Genomic DNA, 16,568 nt, shown 5'->3' on the forward strand with positions numbered 1-16,568 from the left:
ACCCTAACATCACAATTAAAAGAACTAGAAAAGCAAGAGCGTACACATTCAAAAGCTAGTAGAAGGCAGGAAATAACTAAAATCAGAGCAGAACTGAAGGAAATAGAGACATAAAAAACCCTTCAAAAAATTAATGAATCCAGAAGCTGGTTTTTTGAGAAGATCAACAAAATTGATAGACTGCTAGCAAGACTAATAAAGAAGAAAAGAGAGAAGAATCAAATAGACCCAATAAAAAATGATAAAGGGGATATCACCACCGATCCCACAGAAATACAAACTACCATCAGAGAATACTACAAACACCTCTACGCAAATAAACTAGAAAATCTAGAAGAAATGGATAAATTCCTCGACACATACGCCCTCCCAACACTAAACCAGGAGGAAGTTGAATCTCTGAATAGACCAATAACAGGCTCTGAAATTGTGGCAATATTCAATAGCTTACCAACCAAAAAGAGTTCAGGACCAGATGGATTCACAGCCGAATTCTATCACAGGTACAAGAAGGAGCTGGTACCATTCCTTCTGAAATGATTCCAATCAATAGAAAAAGAGGGAATCCTCCCTAACTCATTTTATGAGGCCAGCATCATCCTGATACCAAAGCCGGGCAGAGACACAACCAAAAAAGAGAATTTTAGACCAATATCCTTGATGAACATTGATGCAAAAATCCTCAATAAAATACTGGCAAACCGAATCCAGCAGCACATCAAAAAGCTTATCTACCATGATCAAGTGAGCTTCATCCCTGGGATGCAAGGCTGGTTCAACATACACAAATCAATAAATGTAATCCAGCATATAAACAAAACCAAAGACAAAAACCACATGATTATCTCAATAGATGCAGAAAAGGCCTTTGACAAAATTCAACAACCTTCATGCTAAAAACTCTCAAGAAATTCTGTATTGATGGGACGTATCTCAAAATAGTAAGAGCTATCTATGACAAACCCACAGCCAATATCATGCTGAATGGGCAAAAACTGGAAGCATTCCCTTTGAAAACTGGCACAAGACAGGGATGCCCTCTCTCACCACTCCTATTCAACATAGTGTTGGAAGTTCTGGCCAGGGCAATTAGGCAGGAGAAGGAAATAAAGTGTGTTCAATTTGGAAAAGAGGAAGTCAAATTGTCCCTGTTTGCAGATGACATGATTGTATATCTAGAAAACCCCATTGTCTCAGCCCAAAGTCTCCTTAAGCTGATAAGCAACTTCAGCAAAGTCTCAGGATACAAAATCAATGTACAAAAATCACAAGCATTCTTATACACCAATAACAGACAAACAGAGAGCCAAATCATGAGTGAACTCCCATTCACTATTGCTTCAAAGAGAATAAAATACCTAGGAATCCAACTTACAAGGGATGTGAAGGACCTCTTCAAGAAGAACTACAAACCACTGCTCAATGAAATAAAAGAAGATACAAACAAATGGAAGAACATTCCATGCTCATGGGTAGGAAGAATCAATATCGTGAAAACGGCCATACTGCCCAAGGTAATTTATAGATTCAATGCCATCCCCATCAAGCTACCAATGACTTTCTTCACAGAATTGGAAAAAACTACTTTAAAGTTCATATGGAATCAAAAAAGAGCCCGCATCACCAAGTGAATCCTAAGCCAAAAGAACAAAGCCGCAGGCATCACGCTACCTGACTTCAAACTATACTACAAGGCTACAGTAACCAAAACAGCATGGTACTGGTACCAAAACAGAGATATAGATCAATGGAACAGAACAGAGCCCTCAGAAATAATGCCACATATCTACAACTATCTGATCTTTGACAAACCTGAGAAAAACAAGCAATGGGGAAAGGATTCCCTATTTAATAAATGGTGCTGGGAAAACTGGCTAGCCATATGGAGAAAGCTGAAACTGGATCCCTTCCTTACACCTTATACAAAAATTAATTCAAGATGGATTAAAGACTTAAATGTTAGACCTAAAACCATGAAAACCCTAGAAGAAAACCTAGGCAATACCATTCAGGACATAGGCATGGGCAAGGATTTCATGTCTAAAACACCAAAAGCAATGGTAACAAAAGCCAAAATTGACAAATGGGATCTAATTAAACGAAAGAGCTTCTGCACAGCAAAAGAAACTACCATCAGAGTGAACAGGCAACCGACAAAATAGGAGAACATTTTCCCAACCTACTCATCTGACAAAGGGCTAATATCCAGAATCTACAATGAACTCAAACAAATTTACAAGAAAAAAACAAACAACCTCATCAAAAACTGGGCGAAGGATATGAACAGACACTTCTCAAAAGGAGACATTTATGCAGCCAAAAGAGACATGAAAAAATGCTCCTCATCACTAGCCATCAGAGAAATGCAAATCAAAACCACAATGAGATACCATCTCACACCAGTTAGAATGGCAATCATTAAAAAGTCAGGAAACAACAGGTGCTGGAGAGGATGTGGAGAAATAGGAACACTTTTACACTGTTGGTGGGACTGTAAACTAGTTCAACCATTGTGGAAGTGAGTGTGGCGATTCCTCAGGGTTCTAGAACTAGAAATACCATTTGACCCAGCCATCCCATTACTGGGTATATACCCAAAGGAATATAAATCTTGCTGCTATAAAGACACATGCACACGTATGTTTATTGCGGCACTATTCACAATAGCAAAGACTTGGAACCAACCCAAATGTCCAACAACGATAGACTGGATTAAGAAAATATGGCACATCCACACCATGGAATACTATGCAGCCATAAAAAATGATGAGTTCATGCTAAATGACGTGCATTATGGGTGCGAAATGTGCTAAATGGGTGCAGTACACCAACTTGGCACATGTATACATATGTAACAAATCTGCAAATTGTGCACATGTACCCTAAAACTTAAAGTATAATAATATTGCTGGTTTAATTAAATCAGCAAACTTTAAGTAGGTTTTTATTTACCAAAGATTATGTAAAACCACGTGAACTTGAAAAACACTTAGGTTAGTTTCTCTTTTTCTGAGATAACAATTTATATAAGTTTTTTTTTCTTTTAAGCCAAATCTTCACATAGGTACCAATAGGACAGTTACTTAGGATGAGAGTTCTCTTAAAAAAAATACTTTTAGATACAAAAGTCCAAATTTTCAAAGGTATACCTACTTCAGTTTTGACTCAAAACTGATCATCTTTTTATGGTTTAATCATGGACAAAAGAGGCATCCATAAAGAGGGTACAGAAGTCCCACCCCCACCCCAGATCCAAAGTTTCCTCCAAGGATACCTAAGAAAGTGAAGACCCTCATTGTTAACAGGGCAACAAAGGCTGAGACAATTACGACAAACTGTCCTGAGAGCTGGCACAGTTCATACAAAGAGACACTTCTTGTTTCAGAATCCTGGAGAGCTGGCTAACTGCTGGGCACAAGCCCAACAGCTTGAGCCCCAGGCTGATAGAAACCAAAGAGCACATTTTCACTGATTACAAAGCCAAGCTCTTATGACTTCAGAGAAGATGAAGCAGAGTCTGATGCAGGACAGGTGAGCCTCAAAATTGGGGATCAACCTGAGAGGGTTGTTGGCTTCACCCAGGAACGAACTCAAGGGTGAGCCAGTGGTGACAGAAAGCAGTGTTTATGGAGCCAGTGCTGCTCCTTGCAGAGCAGGGCTAACCCATAAGCAGTGTGCCCAGAGTCAGCAATGTGTAAGCTGTTGGCAGCTGTATTTATACCCACTTTTAATTATATGCTAATTAAGAGGTGGATTATTCAGAACATTCTGGAAAAGGGGCCGAGAGCGTCCAGAACCATATATGGTAACTTCCAGGCCATTGCTATGGCCCATTGCCATGGCATGTGTAAACTGTCACGGCACCCATGGGAATGTCTTTATGCTAATGAGTAGTGAGGGCAACTACAGGTCACTTTCATGGCCATCTGCTTATTTTGGCTGGCTTCTTCACTGCATTCTGTTTCAACCATATCCTTTCAAACCAGATCAGTGAGGTCATGACCAGAAAACAAGCCCTGCCAGCCTCCTACCTCAAATCTAATTAATTATAATTTTCTTCCTTATGACAACCCACACAAAAGACAGAGATAAGAAAAACAAGGACTTCCTGGGAGGCTGTGGATCAATTACCAATGGACACCCAGAAGCAAATTCACAAGACTCACAATTCAAAGAACCAATTTTTTACAATTTTTTTTTTCCTGTCAGTTGAATTTGGGAAGGAAGGAACACGCAAAAATTTTTACCTTCTTCTTTCAATTGGACACTATGGACGGAAATCCAGGAGAGCTGACCTTGGTAAGAATTCCTACTTTCTTCCATCATTTATTAGGCCCCTCAGGATCCCATCTGCAGGCTCCAGAGTGAGTCGGAAGGTGCTCAGCCTTTTAGGACAGAAACTGTTGGGACAGAAGAATACTACTTCACCCTTTTAGGGTCCCAGGAGGGTCCAAGAATTACATTGACATAACATAGATTAACAGGAGCAAAGCACAACACAAGTTTTACATAGCATAGGAGCCTCATAAAGAAATAAAGACACAAAGAAGCTGTCAGAGTCAGTTAATTCTTTACCAGATTTGACAAAGAATTATAAACTGTAAACATGTGATCAGGCAAAGGGTCTTGGGCTAGGGTGGTTAACTGGATAGAGAAGTAGCCAGCATGACAAGTGTTAGTTGAACAAGGCTTGTTTGTACAAAATTCGTTCCACTTCAACTTTCTTGTCCTTGATGATAAGAACCTTGCTTTTTCTCTAGTGTAGGGAGGACATCTTTCACATGGGAATTTCATCTTCTGCTTTTAAGAAAATGAAGTTCAGACTGATCTCTTTGCACCTGCTGTTTTTCAAGTGCCTTTAACTGAAATAGTCAACCTACCAAAAGAGCATATTTTAGCCCCTTCAGGAATGTTGATTTTGTTTATTTTCACGCATTGCTTTTATAATTATAAAAGCTCATTTTATAATTATATAAAAGGAGACCTGGGAACACCAGCCTTCTTCCCTCTACATACAGGAACTGCAGACACTGCAGATAAAACAGAGCCAGAATGCTTTGCTGCCAGCTGGACCTTTGACCCAAACCCCAGTGTGACTGTCTCCGGTGCTCACTCAACTGCAGTGCATCAATGAAGGTAACTTTCTGTCCAGATCATGGAGTCTACATGAAAAGAAATCAATGCAATCCTATTTTTTTTTTTTTTTACTGCTTTCTCTCTCTCAATTCTTGGATTAAAGAAAAACAGCAGACCCTGATGGTGCCCAGCTCAGACCCCCTCTGAAGCCTTTTACCAGCCCTGTGCATCCAGCCCAGCCCCTGTATGCCCTGCTGCTAAGTTTCCCCTGAGCACTGGGGCCTTCCCTGGAGAGCTGGAACAACTTGGCAACTCATTCTCAGCCCTTCCCATCCCCCCTAAGCCACAGCCAGTGACTGACCATTGTGGGAATACAAAAGCCCAGCACCTGTGCCTTGGAGAGGACAAACTCTGAGATATCATCTCTGCTTCAGCACACCACTCAAGACCAAGATGAGGCTGGGGTGTCACCCAAGATGATACACTTGTTGAGTCTCCTCTCCTCCCCTATTTGTGCCCCACCCCCAACTCCCTCACTGGTACATCTCGGGAGCACTGCCTCAACAAATCCCTTGCATTGAATCCTTGGCTCAGGCTCTGCTTCTAGGAGAATATGACCTACTGGGGACAATAGTAATGGTGAATACAGTGGTGAACCAAACAAAGCAGGCTTTGACTTCATGAAGCTAATGGGGAAGAATAACTATCATTTCATTGATTGGATGCTTGGCACAGAAGGAGGAGTACCTATATTCATAGATGAATTCTGTCAGGCAAGGTGGGGGAGTTGCTTCAGCCATCCTCTTTGGTGCTTATTCTAAGTGTGCTGTTTCCAGCATCCCAGCTTCTCAAATGCACTGTGCTGCCTTCAGACACAGGGCCTACGGAAAGTGTGTCCACATTTATTGGGAGGGGGAGAGCCAACCTTCGCCTTTGTGCCAAGTCTCCTAAGAACAAACACGCAGAGCCTGCTCCCAGATGGACAAAGGTCCAACTCCCTTTGTCTTCCCCTTAGAAGGCAGTCTCCTGAGACTCTGCCTTGAAGAAGTAGGATTGTGTCTGATGTGTTTATGTTTGTGGGGTTTTCATGTGTTTTCTTTTTTATCTTCCCTAGGAAAAAAGAACTGAGCATTGGCAAAAAGCTGAGGATGACAAGCTTAGGGGATGAAAGGCTGCCTTTTCCCCCCCTTCTGAGCGTTTCTGACAGCTCCCAGCTGGGAGAAACCAACATGACGAAAAGACAAAGAATACTGGAGAAGAGAGAGGGTGGGCAGAGCCACAACCTCATCCTCCCAGTGGTTCCTCTTGAGTTTGATTTGACAAGATGCCTTCCCACCCAGGTAACCCCGTGGGAACGTGCCAGTACCTCACCGCACGACCTCACTGAGTCCTCACAACAAATCCAGGCTGCAGATTTTTTTCCCCACTTGGAGATGACAAATTGAAATGCAGGAAGGTTAAAGAGTTTGCCTGAGGTTGCTTAGATAATAAAAGAATCTGGATTAGAACCCAGACCTACCCAGCTAAACAACTGAGTCCTTTTTTACTGGATTACACCTATCTCATGGGCATAATTTTATCTACAGTCTCTCTCTATTCCAGTGTTTAAGATAAATCCTGTGAGGGTTAAATGAGATCATGCATGTTCAGCACTTAGCCTGGAGACTGGTGTCAGACAAGCACTCTATAAATGCTACCTAGCCTTGTTATTGCTGTTGATGGTGTTGCTGCTGTTTTTGTTATTGTTACTGCTGCTGCTGCTACTGCTCTTGCTATTTTTGCTGCTGTTTCTGCAGATTATGTGGTTGCTGATGTTTTTGCTGTTGTTGGTGACAGTGTTTTCACTACTGTTCTGATTATTTTTGATACCGCTGTTGTTGCCATTTTGTGGCAGTTGTTGCTGCTGATGTGCTGCTACTGTTGCTGTGATGATGCTGTTGACATTGTCACTGTGGATGTTGCAATGATGCTGTTGACAGTGTCACTGTGGATGCTGTGATGATGTTGTTGCTGTGGATGTTGTGATGATGCTGTTGAAGCTTTACTGTGGATGCCGTGATGGTGGTGTTGACACTTACTATGGATGTTGTGATGACGCTGTTAACACATTTACTGTAGATGTTGGCGTGATGCTGTTAACACAGTTGCTGTGGATGTTGTGATGATGTTACTATGGGCACAGTGATGTGCTGTTGACACTATTACTGTGGGTGCCGTGTCACGATGAGGCTATTGACACTATTACTACAGGTGTTGTGATGATGCTGCTGATGTTGTTTCTTGATACTGTTATATCGCTGTTGATGTTGTAACTATGGAAGTAGTGATGATGCTCTAGACACTGTTTCTGTAGATGTTGTGATGCTGCTGTTGGCATTGTTACTGTGGGTGTTGTGATGATACTGTTGACATTACTGCGGGTGTTGTGATGATGCTGTTGATGCTGCTACTGCGGATGTTGTGATGATGCTGTTGGCGTTGTTACTGTTAATGTTCTTGCTGATGTGGTTGACAGTGCTATTGTTGCTATTTTTATTCTTGTTGCTGAGATGTTATTCTATTGTCGTTGTTGCTGCTGTTGGCACTACTGCTGTGCTGCTATTGTTGATGTGATAATGTTGTTGACGTTACTAATGTTGATGTTGTTGTTGATGATGTTGGTGTTAATATACCCATCCAGACTCACTACTTTTGTTACACACTTCCAAACCAAATTTAATGTAGGCATAACTTACTAGTCGTACAAGGATATATATATAGCTTACCCCTCATGTTTCCACGGAGGCCGAGAATTTCCATTCCACTCTCCGGGAGAGATTTTGAGAGCCATCTGTAGCCTCTGCCTCCTTGCTGAATGGGGCACACTCCTCTCAGCCATCCCTTTCAGAAATCTATGCTGGTCAATGGTACATGTGACTGGGAGAATGAGGCTACCTCATTCAGGGGGTAAAGTAGGAGGAATCCCATATGGCTACCCACCTCAGGTACATGGGTCAATTCAGCCTTTTAGTGTGATATTTTCATCCTCATCTGTCTCGCTCCTGTGTCTTAATTGGTTCAAAATTAGGAGATGAAGAAATAGGTGCTATATTTACCTCCAAGACAACAACCAAGTCTTCGTGATATAATTCAATTCGCTTTTTACCTCCCCGAAGAATCCTTTCCTTATTTCTACAACCCACAGTGGTCTCACCCAACTATGAAGTTTTATAGCAGTTTGTTATTTTCTCACATGCCAATAAATATTGTGAAATATGTGAACCTGGCTAGACTGTGAGCTCCTTCAGACTAAGAACATATCTTAAAACATCCTCTCACTTATTGTGGTTCTAGACACATAGTAGGTGCTCAATAAATGCTTGTAAATTGAAATACATTGGAAGCTTAATACTTAGGAATGTTCCCATGTGGCTGAGTTTTTATGCCATCCTATGTTTTTGAATAAAAAATATTAATTGGAAATTTGTGTTCCAGAACTTACATATGATGCATGAATGCCCTTGATGATACAGAAATGGGAAGAACTGATTAAGTTATTTAGGTTTTTTTTTTTTTTTTTTTTGACGGAGTCTCACTATTGTCACCCAGGCTGAAGTGCAGTGGTGCAATCTCGGCTCACTGCAACCTCCACCTCCCGGTGCAAGCGATTCTCCTGCCTCAGCCTCCTGAGTAGCTGGGATTACAGGTGCCCACCACTACGCCTGGCTAATTTTTTAACTTTTAGTAGAGACGGGATTTCGCCATGTTGGCCAGGCTGGTCTTGAACTCCCGACCTCAGGTGATCTGCCCTTGGCCTCCCAAAGTGTTGGGATTACAGGTGTGAGTCACCATGTCCAGCCAGTTCTTTAGTTTCTAAGGTCCATCAGTCGACATTAACTTCTTGTCATTACATGCAATTCAATAAAAGCATAAGTCCTTACCTGTAGGGGCACTCGGATGGATGCCAGGCTTCCAAAATTGAGCGTAAAATCCCAAGGGGTTTCAAGGTAGGCCATTCTTCAATGCTTCCTTTACAACAGACATTGTGCCTGCAGGCTCAAGGGGCCATGGGGCCTAAGGAGGATCCCATGAACCTTTCCACGAAATTGCGTGTGTGGCTTTGTATAATGCTTACCCCTTATCTCTCTAGGATAGTTGTTTATTTATTATTGTATCTATTTAAGGTATACAGCATGATGTTGTGATACACATGGTGAAATGACAACTACAGTCAAACAAACTAACATATGAATCTCCTCACACAGTTACCGCGTGTGTGTGTGTGTGTGGTAAGAACACATAAAATCCAGTCTCTTACCAAATGTTCAGCATACAATACAATATTATGAACCATAGTCCTCCTGCTGTGCATTAGGTTAGACTTATTCATCCTACATGACTGCAAGTTTGTACCCTCTGACAAATCTCTAGGATTTTTCAATTCCTGAATTTGCCAGCAAATTTTAGCTGATTGAGGTTACCAGACAGCTGACTACCTCATAAGGTAAACTATTGTTCCTCAAGTATTTTAAGCTTTTGTAGGTCTGGGTTCAATTCATACTTACCTGGTGAATAAGGTTTCAGTAATTTACAAATAAATATTGTGTTAATAGTATCATCTAACAGGTGCTGAGAACTTGGTGTGAGCCACACTCACCTAGCAAGCTACTTACCATGCTGAGCAGTTGCATGGATTTTCTCAGTCCTCATGTCCTGATAGTAAAGACCAGTGCATCTCTAGCCTTCAGCACTCATGGGCACAAATGCATTTAATTCTCACAATAACACTCTGAGGGTGGTTATTACTGTTATTACCCTCCCAACTTTGCAGAGGAGCCTGGAGCATGTAGGGGTTCAGTTATGTGCCCAAGGCCAGGAGCCATTGAGGGAGTGGCGGCCTACATCAGCTGGCTCTGGAGGCTGCACCAGTGACAAGCGAACTGAGTCCCAGGTTCACTAAGGCATGAAAAGACTTCCCTTGTATTACCCAGGGCGCTCCAGGGAAACAGAACCAATAGAATGTGTATATATGGTCCTCCCTTGGTTTCAGGAGATTGGTTCCAGGACCCCTCGCAGATATAATAAAATGGTGTGGTATTTGCATATAACCTACAGCACATCCTCCTATGTACTTTAAGTCAGGGGTCTCCAACCCCTAGGCCACAAACCCATCCGGCCTATGGCCTGTTAGGAACTGGGCCATACAACAGGAGGTGAGTGAGCTAAGTGCTGTGTGAGTGAGCGAAGTTTCATCTGTATTGACAGCCGCTCCCCATTGCTTGCTCGCATTACTGTGTGAGCTCTGCCTGCTGTCAGATCAGTGGCGGCATTAGATTATCTTAGGAGCACAAACCCTACTGTGAACTGCACATGCGAGGGATCTAGGTTGCGTGCTCCTTTTGAAAATCCAATGCCTGATGATCTGTCACTGTCTCCCATCACCTCCAAATGGGACCATCTAGTTGCAGGAAGACAAGCTTGGAGCTCCCACTGATCTACATTATGGTGAGATGTATAATTATTTCATTATATATTACAATGTAATAATAATAGAAATAAAGTGCACAATAAATATAATGGTTTGAATCATCCTGAAACCACGCTCCTGCCAGTTCATGGAAAAATTGTCTTTCATGCAACCGGTCCCTGGTGCCAAAAAGGTTGAGGACCACTGCTTTAAGTCATCTCTAGTTTACCTATGATACATAATACAGTGTAAATGCTATATAAGTACTTGTTACATGTATTGTCTGGGGAATCACGACAAGGAAAAAGGCTGTACACAACTTTCATGGGTTTAACTAAATTTTTGATCTGCAGTTGGTTGAATCCACAGATCCGGAACCATGGATACAGAGGGCCACTGGTATATTGATAGAGATTTACTTTAAGGAGGCTAAGAAGTCCAAAATTTGCAGGGCAAGCAGGAAGGCTAGAGACCCAGAGGAAAGCTGAGGCTGCAGCTCCAGCCTAAAGGCCATCTGTGGACAAAATCCCACTTGCTTAGGGGAGGTCAGTTTTTTCTGCTGTTCAGGCTTTCAACTGATTGGACGAGGCCCACCCACATTATGGAGGGCAACCTGCTCTGCTCAAGTCCACCAACTTAGATGTTAATCTCATCCAAAAACACCCTCACAGAAGCATCCAGAATCATGCTGACCATATCTCTGGGCACTATGGCCCGGCCAAGTTGACTCATACAATTAACCAGCACACCCAGTATCACACAGATACAACAGACCCAAGACTCAGGCCCTTGCAGTATGACTGAGCCTGCATGTTCTTACACACGGAACTGGGAGCCTCTGTTTTCACCAGCTCTTCAGCCCACCTCATCTGCCAGCAAGCCGGGGTCAGTTGTGTCCTTCCTTCTAAAGCTGACTGTCCTTGTCCTCTCCCCAGCGGCTGCCTAAGTGTGGCCACTGCTGCCTCTGCACTGACCGTCTAGCAGAGAGAGCTTAGCTGCTGATATTTATTGGCTTTAAGACTTCGTCAAGCACAGCCCTCGAGATGCTCAAGGTGAAGAGCATTGATCGAATCTGTTTCCTGGGCTGCTTGTCTTGGGTGGGAAGCCAAGCATGCGAGCTGAGCAGGGATGGGAGCAGAGATGGCCAGCACTGGCGGGCAGTGTGCTGGACTCTAATGCCTGAGTCTCACCCCATACTCAGTACCCTGATATCAGGAAGGGACTCTGACTATCCACTGCAAAGAAGAGGAATAAAGGAACCGAACCTTATTCACTCATTCATTCAGCAGATCTGCCCACCATGTGCCTGCATCCTAGATGCTAGAACGTATCACGGACAAAACAGAAATCATTTCTCATGGAGCCGTCATTGTGGTGGAGGGAGACAGACAATAAACCAGCAAATAAGCAAATGACAGTATGTGACAAGCTGATGAGTGCTAAGGGGAGAAATCAATGAGGGGAAAGGGATATGGGTTGGGGAGGAGGTGGGGTTGCGATTTTTAATAGGGCAACTAGTGAAGGTCTCGCTGAGATGGTAATGCTTGAATGAAAGCTTAAAAGCCACGTGGGTGTTGGAGGAAGAGCATTCCAGAGACAGAAAGCAGCAAGTGCAAAGGCCTGGAGGCAGCCACAGTCCTGGCTGCTCAAGGAACAGCAAGGGCAGAAGTGGCTGGAGCAGAGCCAGTGGGGGGTGGAGTGGGAGGAGAGGTCGGGCAAGGAATGGGTCCAGTTGGATGGCTTTTCAGGGCATAGAAAGGAACGTGGCTTTTTCTCTGCCTGGGATGGGAAGCCCTTAAAAGGCTTTGAGCAGAGGAAAGACATGGTCTGGTTTCCATGTTCCAAGGACTGGAGAGATTAAGATGCTTGTCTCACGCCCTGCAGCCAGTAAGGGGCAGAAGAGCCGCCAGGGCATCTAGCTGTGGATAAGAGCTTGTTCCCCTGCACTACCCATGTATCTGCCAGAGTTCGTTTGCTGGAGTCCATATTGCCGCTAAGAAAGCTGACTGCCACAGCCATGTGAGAAAGAAAACAGGGCATGGGGGAAAGAGGGGTGGACAAGTCCCAAAAGGCCTACTGGAGGAGGTGATATCTGAGCTGAAACCCAAATGGCAGAAATCAGCCAAGGAAATACACAGAGAGCAGAGTGTTCAGAAATAGATGGTGCAAAGGTCCTGAGGCAGGACCCTGCTCAGAGTCCTGGGAGAGCAAAGAGAAGACAAACATGGCAGAATTGCGATGAGCAAGGGGGAGATGAGGTCACAGAGGGAGCCAAGAGGCATATCCTTCACGGTCTCATAGGCTCTGGTAAGGAATTTGGATTTTATTCTTAAGAGCGATGAGGAGGCACTAGAAGATTTTAAGCAGGGAGTGATTTACATTTTTAAAAAAGATCAGCCTGGCTGCTCTGTGGAGAAAAGACTGGGAAAGGGCTACAGGCTGCATGCCTGGCACCTCAATTTTTCATATGAAAAATGACACTGATTTTAGAGAGTTGCTGTATGAAGCTGTGAGAGAATGACATGAGAATGTTAACTCATTGAAGGGTGGGAATTTGTGGGTGCTGTTCACTGCCACATCCCCGATTCTGCAGCAGTGCCCACAGCAGATGCTCCAGCAACTATTGGTTCAGCGAGTGAGTGGATGGATGGGTGGATAGATGGATGGATGGATAGATAGATGAAAACAGAGGCATCATATAAAGGTGAGAGACTGGGATGTTTCAGTGACCATCAAAAGTTAAAGCATTGCCCAACAAAACCTTCCTCACAGCAGCGGGAACTAAAGGGTTAATGTGACCTCTGACGATTTTTCTTCCAGAGGATTGTGATACAGTGCTAATAAATTTCCTGTGACCTTGTTACGGGAAAATAATAAGCCCCTGCTAATGTATCAAATTAACATGTTTGGGCTTCCTGTTCAGAAACCTCAAACATCTCACCTCCATGTGGTCTGCAGAAAATTATTCTTTAGATGCAATTGCGTTGAGTGATGGAGGCTTTGTGGCCTCTACTATCCCCACCGGTGGAAGAGTTCTGATACCCTGGTTTTTCCTCTGCAGTTCACAGTGGTCTGGCACTTAGCATAGCATCTGGTAGGAAAAAAAAAAAAAAAAAAAAAAAGCTAGATTCCTATTTGAATGAACAAAGGAAATGGTTAATGGCCATAACACAAGGGTTTTCTCTCATCTCTATTTTCTAGGGAAAACAGGAGAATTTAAAAAAAAAATTATCTCCCTTTTCTTTTTGTCAGCTGTGAAGAAGCTGCAAGTTTCAAATATGTCACCTTGCTGACGAGCCTTAAGTGATGGGCAGTAGGCAGAGGTTCCCTCAATACCAGTTTAAAGACATTAAAGACCCGCCACCCCCAGACTCCTCAAAGAATACCATATCCAGGATGAATGTTCAAATCCCCTGGCTGGTCACCTGCAGTGAGGACCGCCCATCGCCATCTCCAGTGAGCACAGACATCTCAGCTCCCAGTGCCAGCTCCCAGTGCCAACTGGGAGGCTGGACCCCCGAACGTCAGCCCTGCTGCCCTCTCTGAAAGTAACCTCTGCCGTAATCCACACCAGAAAGTGGATGTGTCAATGTGCTTGCCTCATCCAAGCATTTTTCTCTTCCAAATCAAGGTTTTCTGTGAGTTCGTCTGATTCGTGAGGCCCAACTCACTTACCTGTCCTGAATCTCGAGGGAAACTGAGAAAGTGAGTTACAGGCTTCTGCTTTAGGGAGGCACATATGGTCTCAGTTGGCTCGGACTGCTATAACAAATTATTACAGACTGGGTGGCTGAAACAACAGACGGTTATTTCACACAGTTCTGGAGACTGAAAGGCCAAGATCAGGGCACAGCATGGTCCTTGGTGTGTGCATGCTTAGAAAGAGAGAGAGAGAGAGAGAGAGAGAGAGAGAGAAAGAGATAATCTCCTGTTCTTCCTCTTTCTTTAAGGGCACTAATCCCACCATGGGGGCCCCACCCTCATGACCTCATCTAAACCTAATCACCTCCCAAAGCCCCACCTCAAAATACCATCGCATTAGGGGCTGGGGCTTTAACATATAAATTTTGGGGGAGAGGGACACAGTCATTCAGTCCAGAGCAGAAATCATTAGGAGGGATATTTTCCAAATATAGGCCAGATATACCAAAAACAAGGTAGCCCCAAAGACGCCCATACCCACTGCAGCCTTTGTCTTCTACACCTGTCTCCTACACAGTGCCTGGCACATAGCAGGTGCTCAGTAAGTGACAGCGCCTCCTTTCCCTTGCCATACTTCCCTGTTTAGCCTCTGCCCATCTCTACCTACAGGCCCATCTGCTTGGATTCCTGTGCTTGGAATTTTTTCCCATGGACCCTTTCACTACAACCAGCACTTTAAAAGAAAGAACAATTGAATACGACATGCAAGGTTCACCATATCCAACTTTAGCACCAATTTTAAACATAGACCCATGCAAATATTCAATGCAAATATATTTATAAGATACTATTCTCTAAAAAATGTGGGTATTGACACTCTACTTATTATATCAGAACCTAGTGCCCCTCACCCAAGAGATATTTAAAGAGCTTATTTGTATTCTTTGGTTTCCACCTAATGTGCTTATTTATGTCTCTTGTTTTATAAGAAATACATTTAATAATTTAGAAGCAATAAGGGAAAATATTTTTACATAAAAATTTAAAAACATTTGCATCACAAGAAACATAAAAATTAAAATGACAAACATTACACTGGAGAAATATTTTTAATTTAAATCACAATACATTAAAGAGTTATGGCTGGGCGCGGTGGCTCACACCTGTAATCCTAGCACTTTGGGAGGCCAAGGCGGGCAGATCACGAGGTCAGGAGATCGAGACCATCTTGGCTAACATGGTGAAACCCCGTTTCTACTAAAAATACAAAAAATTAGCTGGGCATGGTGGCGGGCACCTGTAGTCCCAGCTACTCGGGATGCTGAGGCAGGAGAATGGCGTGAACCCAGGAGGTGGAGCTTGCAATGAGCAGAGATCACGCCACTGCACTCCAGCCTGGGCGACAGAGCAAGACTCTGTCTCAAAAAAAAAAAAATAGTCATTATCCCTAACATATAAATCTCTGTAGCATTTCCCAAAGCCTCAGGAGAAAGAAAAACCCTGGAGAAAAATAAGCTAAGAAGTGAACAGACAATTCATAGAAAAAGACAAAGCATCTTAATTGTATGAGAAGATGATATCCCTGTCATCTGAGAAAGGTAAATTAAAAGTAGTCTAAGACTGTCAACAAACACATAGTAATAAGGACCGGATTTATCTTCCCACTTGGAAAATATTTTTAAATGGACAAAAGGTGCAAAACAATAGTTTTCAAGGTGTTGGACATTAGACAACAAAGGATAGTGACCCTGGAAGGCAGGAGAAAGATGAGGTGAGCCTAGAGTTGCCCCGCTTTCTGCCTTGGGAGACTTTCCAGGCACTGCTGCAGGGAAGGGAACCCAGGCAGAGCCCAGGGGAGTTCAAGAGATTGCAGGGCAGAGTTTTGGAGAGAGGAGAGCTATGGAGAGCCAGAACACTGGAATCTTCAGGGGGCTATCCTCAACTATTCAGTAGAGTGACATCAGTACATGCATTGAGAAAATTCCTTGAGGCCAGGGAGAGAATCACCCAAAAGGATTCCAGGAAACAATATTCAGTGCTCACACCAGCCGGGAAATAGTGCTGTTTCCCACCAGCCAGACTTGAAGACTTTGGAAGTCAGGGGTCATTTGGTAGAGGACTCAGAACGATCTTGTCTCAATAGTGGGGAATCATTAGCCATAGACTAAACATCTTAATAAATTATAAAAGCTAAACTCAAAAGGATCAAAGTATTTCCAAATTCTTAACTGTATACCAGAACAAAGCCCAACAATAGTTACAAGAATACAAAGTACTCAGCCCCCAACAAGTTAAAATGATTGGCATTCAATCAAGGAGTACCGGGCAAGTAAAGAAGCAGGAAATGTGGTGCAAAATAACGAAGAAAATAAATCAATTGAACTCAGTCCGGAACTGACATTAT

At 43.3% G+C, this 16,568-nt stretch overlaps 1 protein-coding gene and 1 long non-coding RNA gene across 4 annotated transcripts in view, besides 1 other annotated feature; one reads left to right on the forward strand and one right to left on the reverse strand.

The window, feature by feature from the left end:
* The first annotated feature begins 3,371 nt into the window (after window positions 1-3,371).
* LINC01587 (long intergenic non-protein coding RNA 1587) lies at window positions 3,372-6,604 on the forward strand. Of its 3 annotated transcripts, NR_126519.1 has the most exons (4): window positions 3,372-3,531; window positions 4,210-4,299; window positions 5,019-5,136; window positions 6,191-6,604. It is a non-coding gene; the product is annotated as a long intergenic non-protein coding RNA 1587 (long non-coding RNA). The 3 variants fall into 3 exon arrangements; NR_126517.1 differs by lacking the exon at window positions 3,372-3,531 and having other exon boundaries at window positions 3,959-4,299; window positions 4,998-5,136; NR_126518.1 differs by lacking the exon at window positions 3,372-3,531 and having other exon boundaries at window positions 3,959-4,299.
* Window positions 3,757-4,956: an enhancer, noted in NCBI's record as "BRD4-independent group 4 enhancer chr4:5526681-5527880 (GRCh37/hg19 assembly coordinates)". NCBI's record gives its function as "activates an origin of replication core promoter dependent on BRD2, P300/CBP, MED14 and CDK7 cofactors, and independent of BRD4, by STARR-seq in HCT116 cells {active_cell/tissue: HCT116}" and the evidence as "EXISTENCE:reporter gene assay evidence [ECO:0000049][PMID:35650434]".
* Window positions 7,814-16,568, reverse strand: part of EVC2 (EvC ciliary complex subunit 2) — a 180,538-nt gene continuing 171,783 nt past the window's right edge. Inside the window, exon 22 of the mRNA XM_047449611.1 lies at window positions 7,814-13,613. Coding sequence (XP_047305567.1) covers window positions 13,535-13,613 — 79 coding nt within the window. The 3' untranslated portion in view covers window positions 7,814-13,534. The remainder of the gene's footprint in view (window positions 13,614-16,568) is intronic.

Source organism: Homo sapiens, chromosome 4, assembly GCF_000001405.40.
Source record: "Homo sapiens chromosome 4, GRCh38.p14 Primary Assembly".
Lineage (NCBI taxonomy): Eukaryota > Metazoa > Chordata > Mammalia > Primates > Hominidae > Homo > Homo sapiens.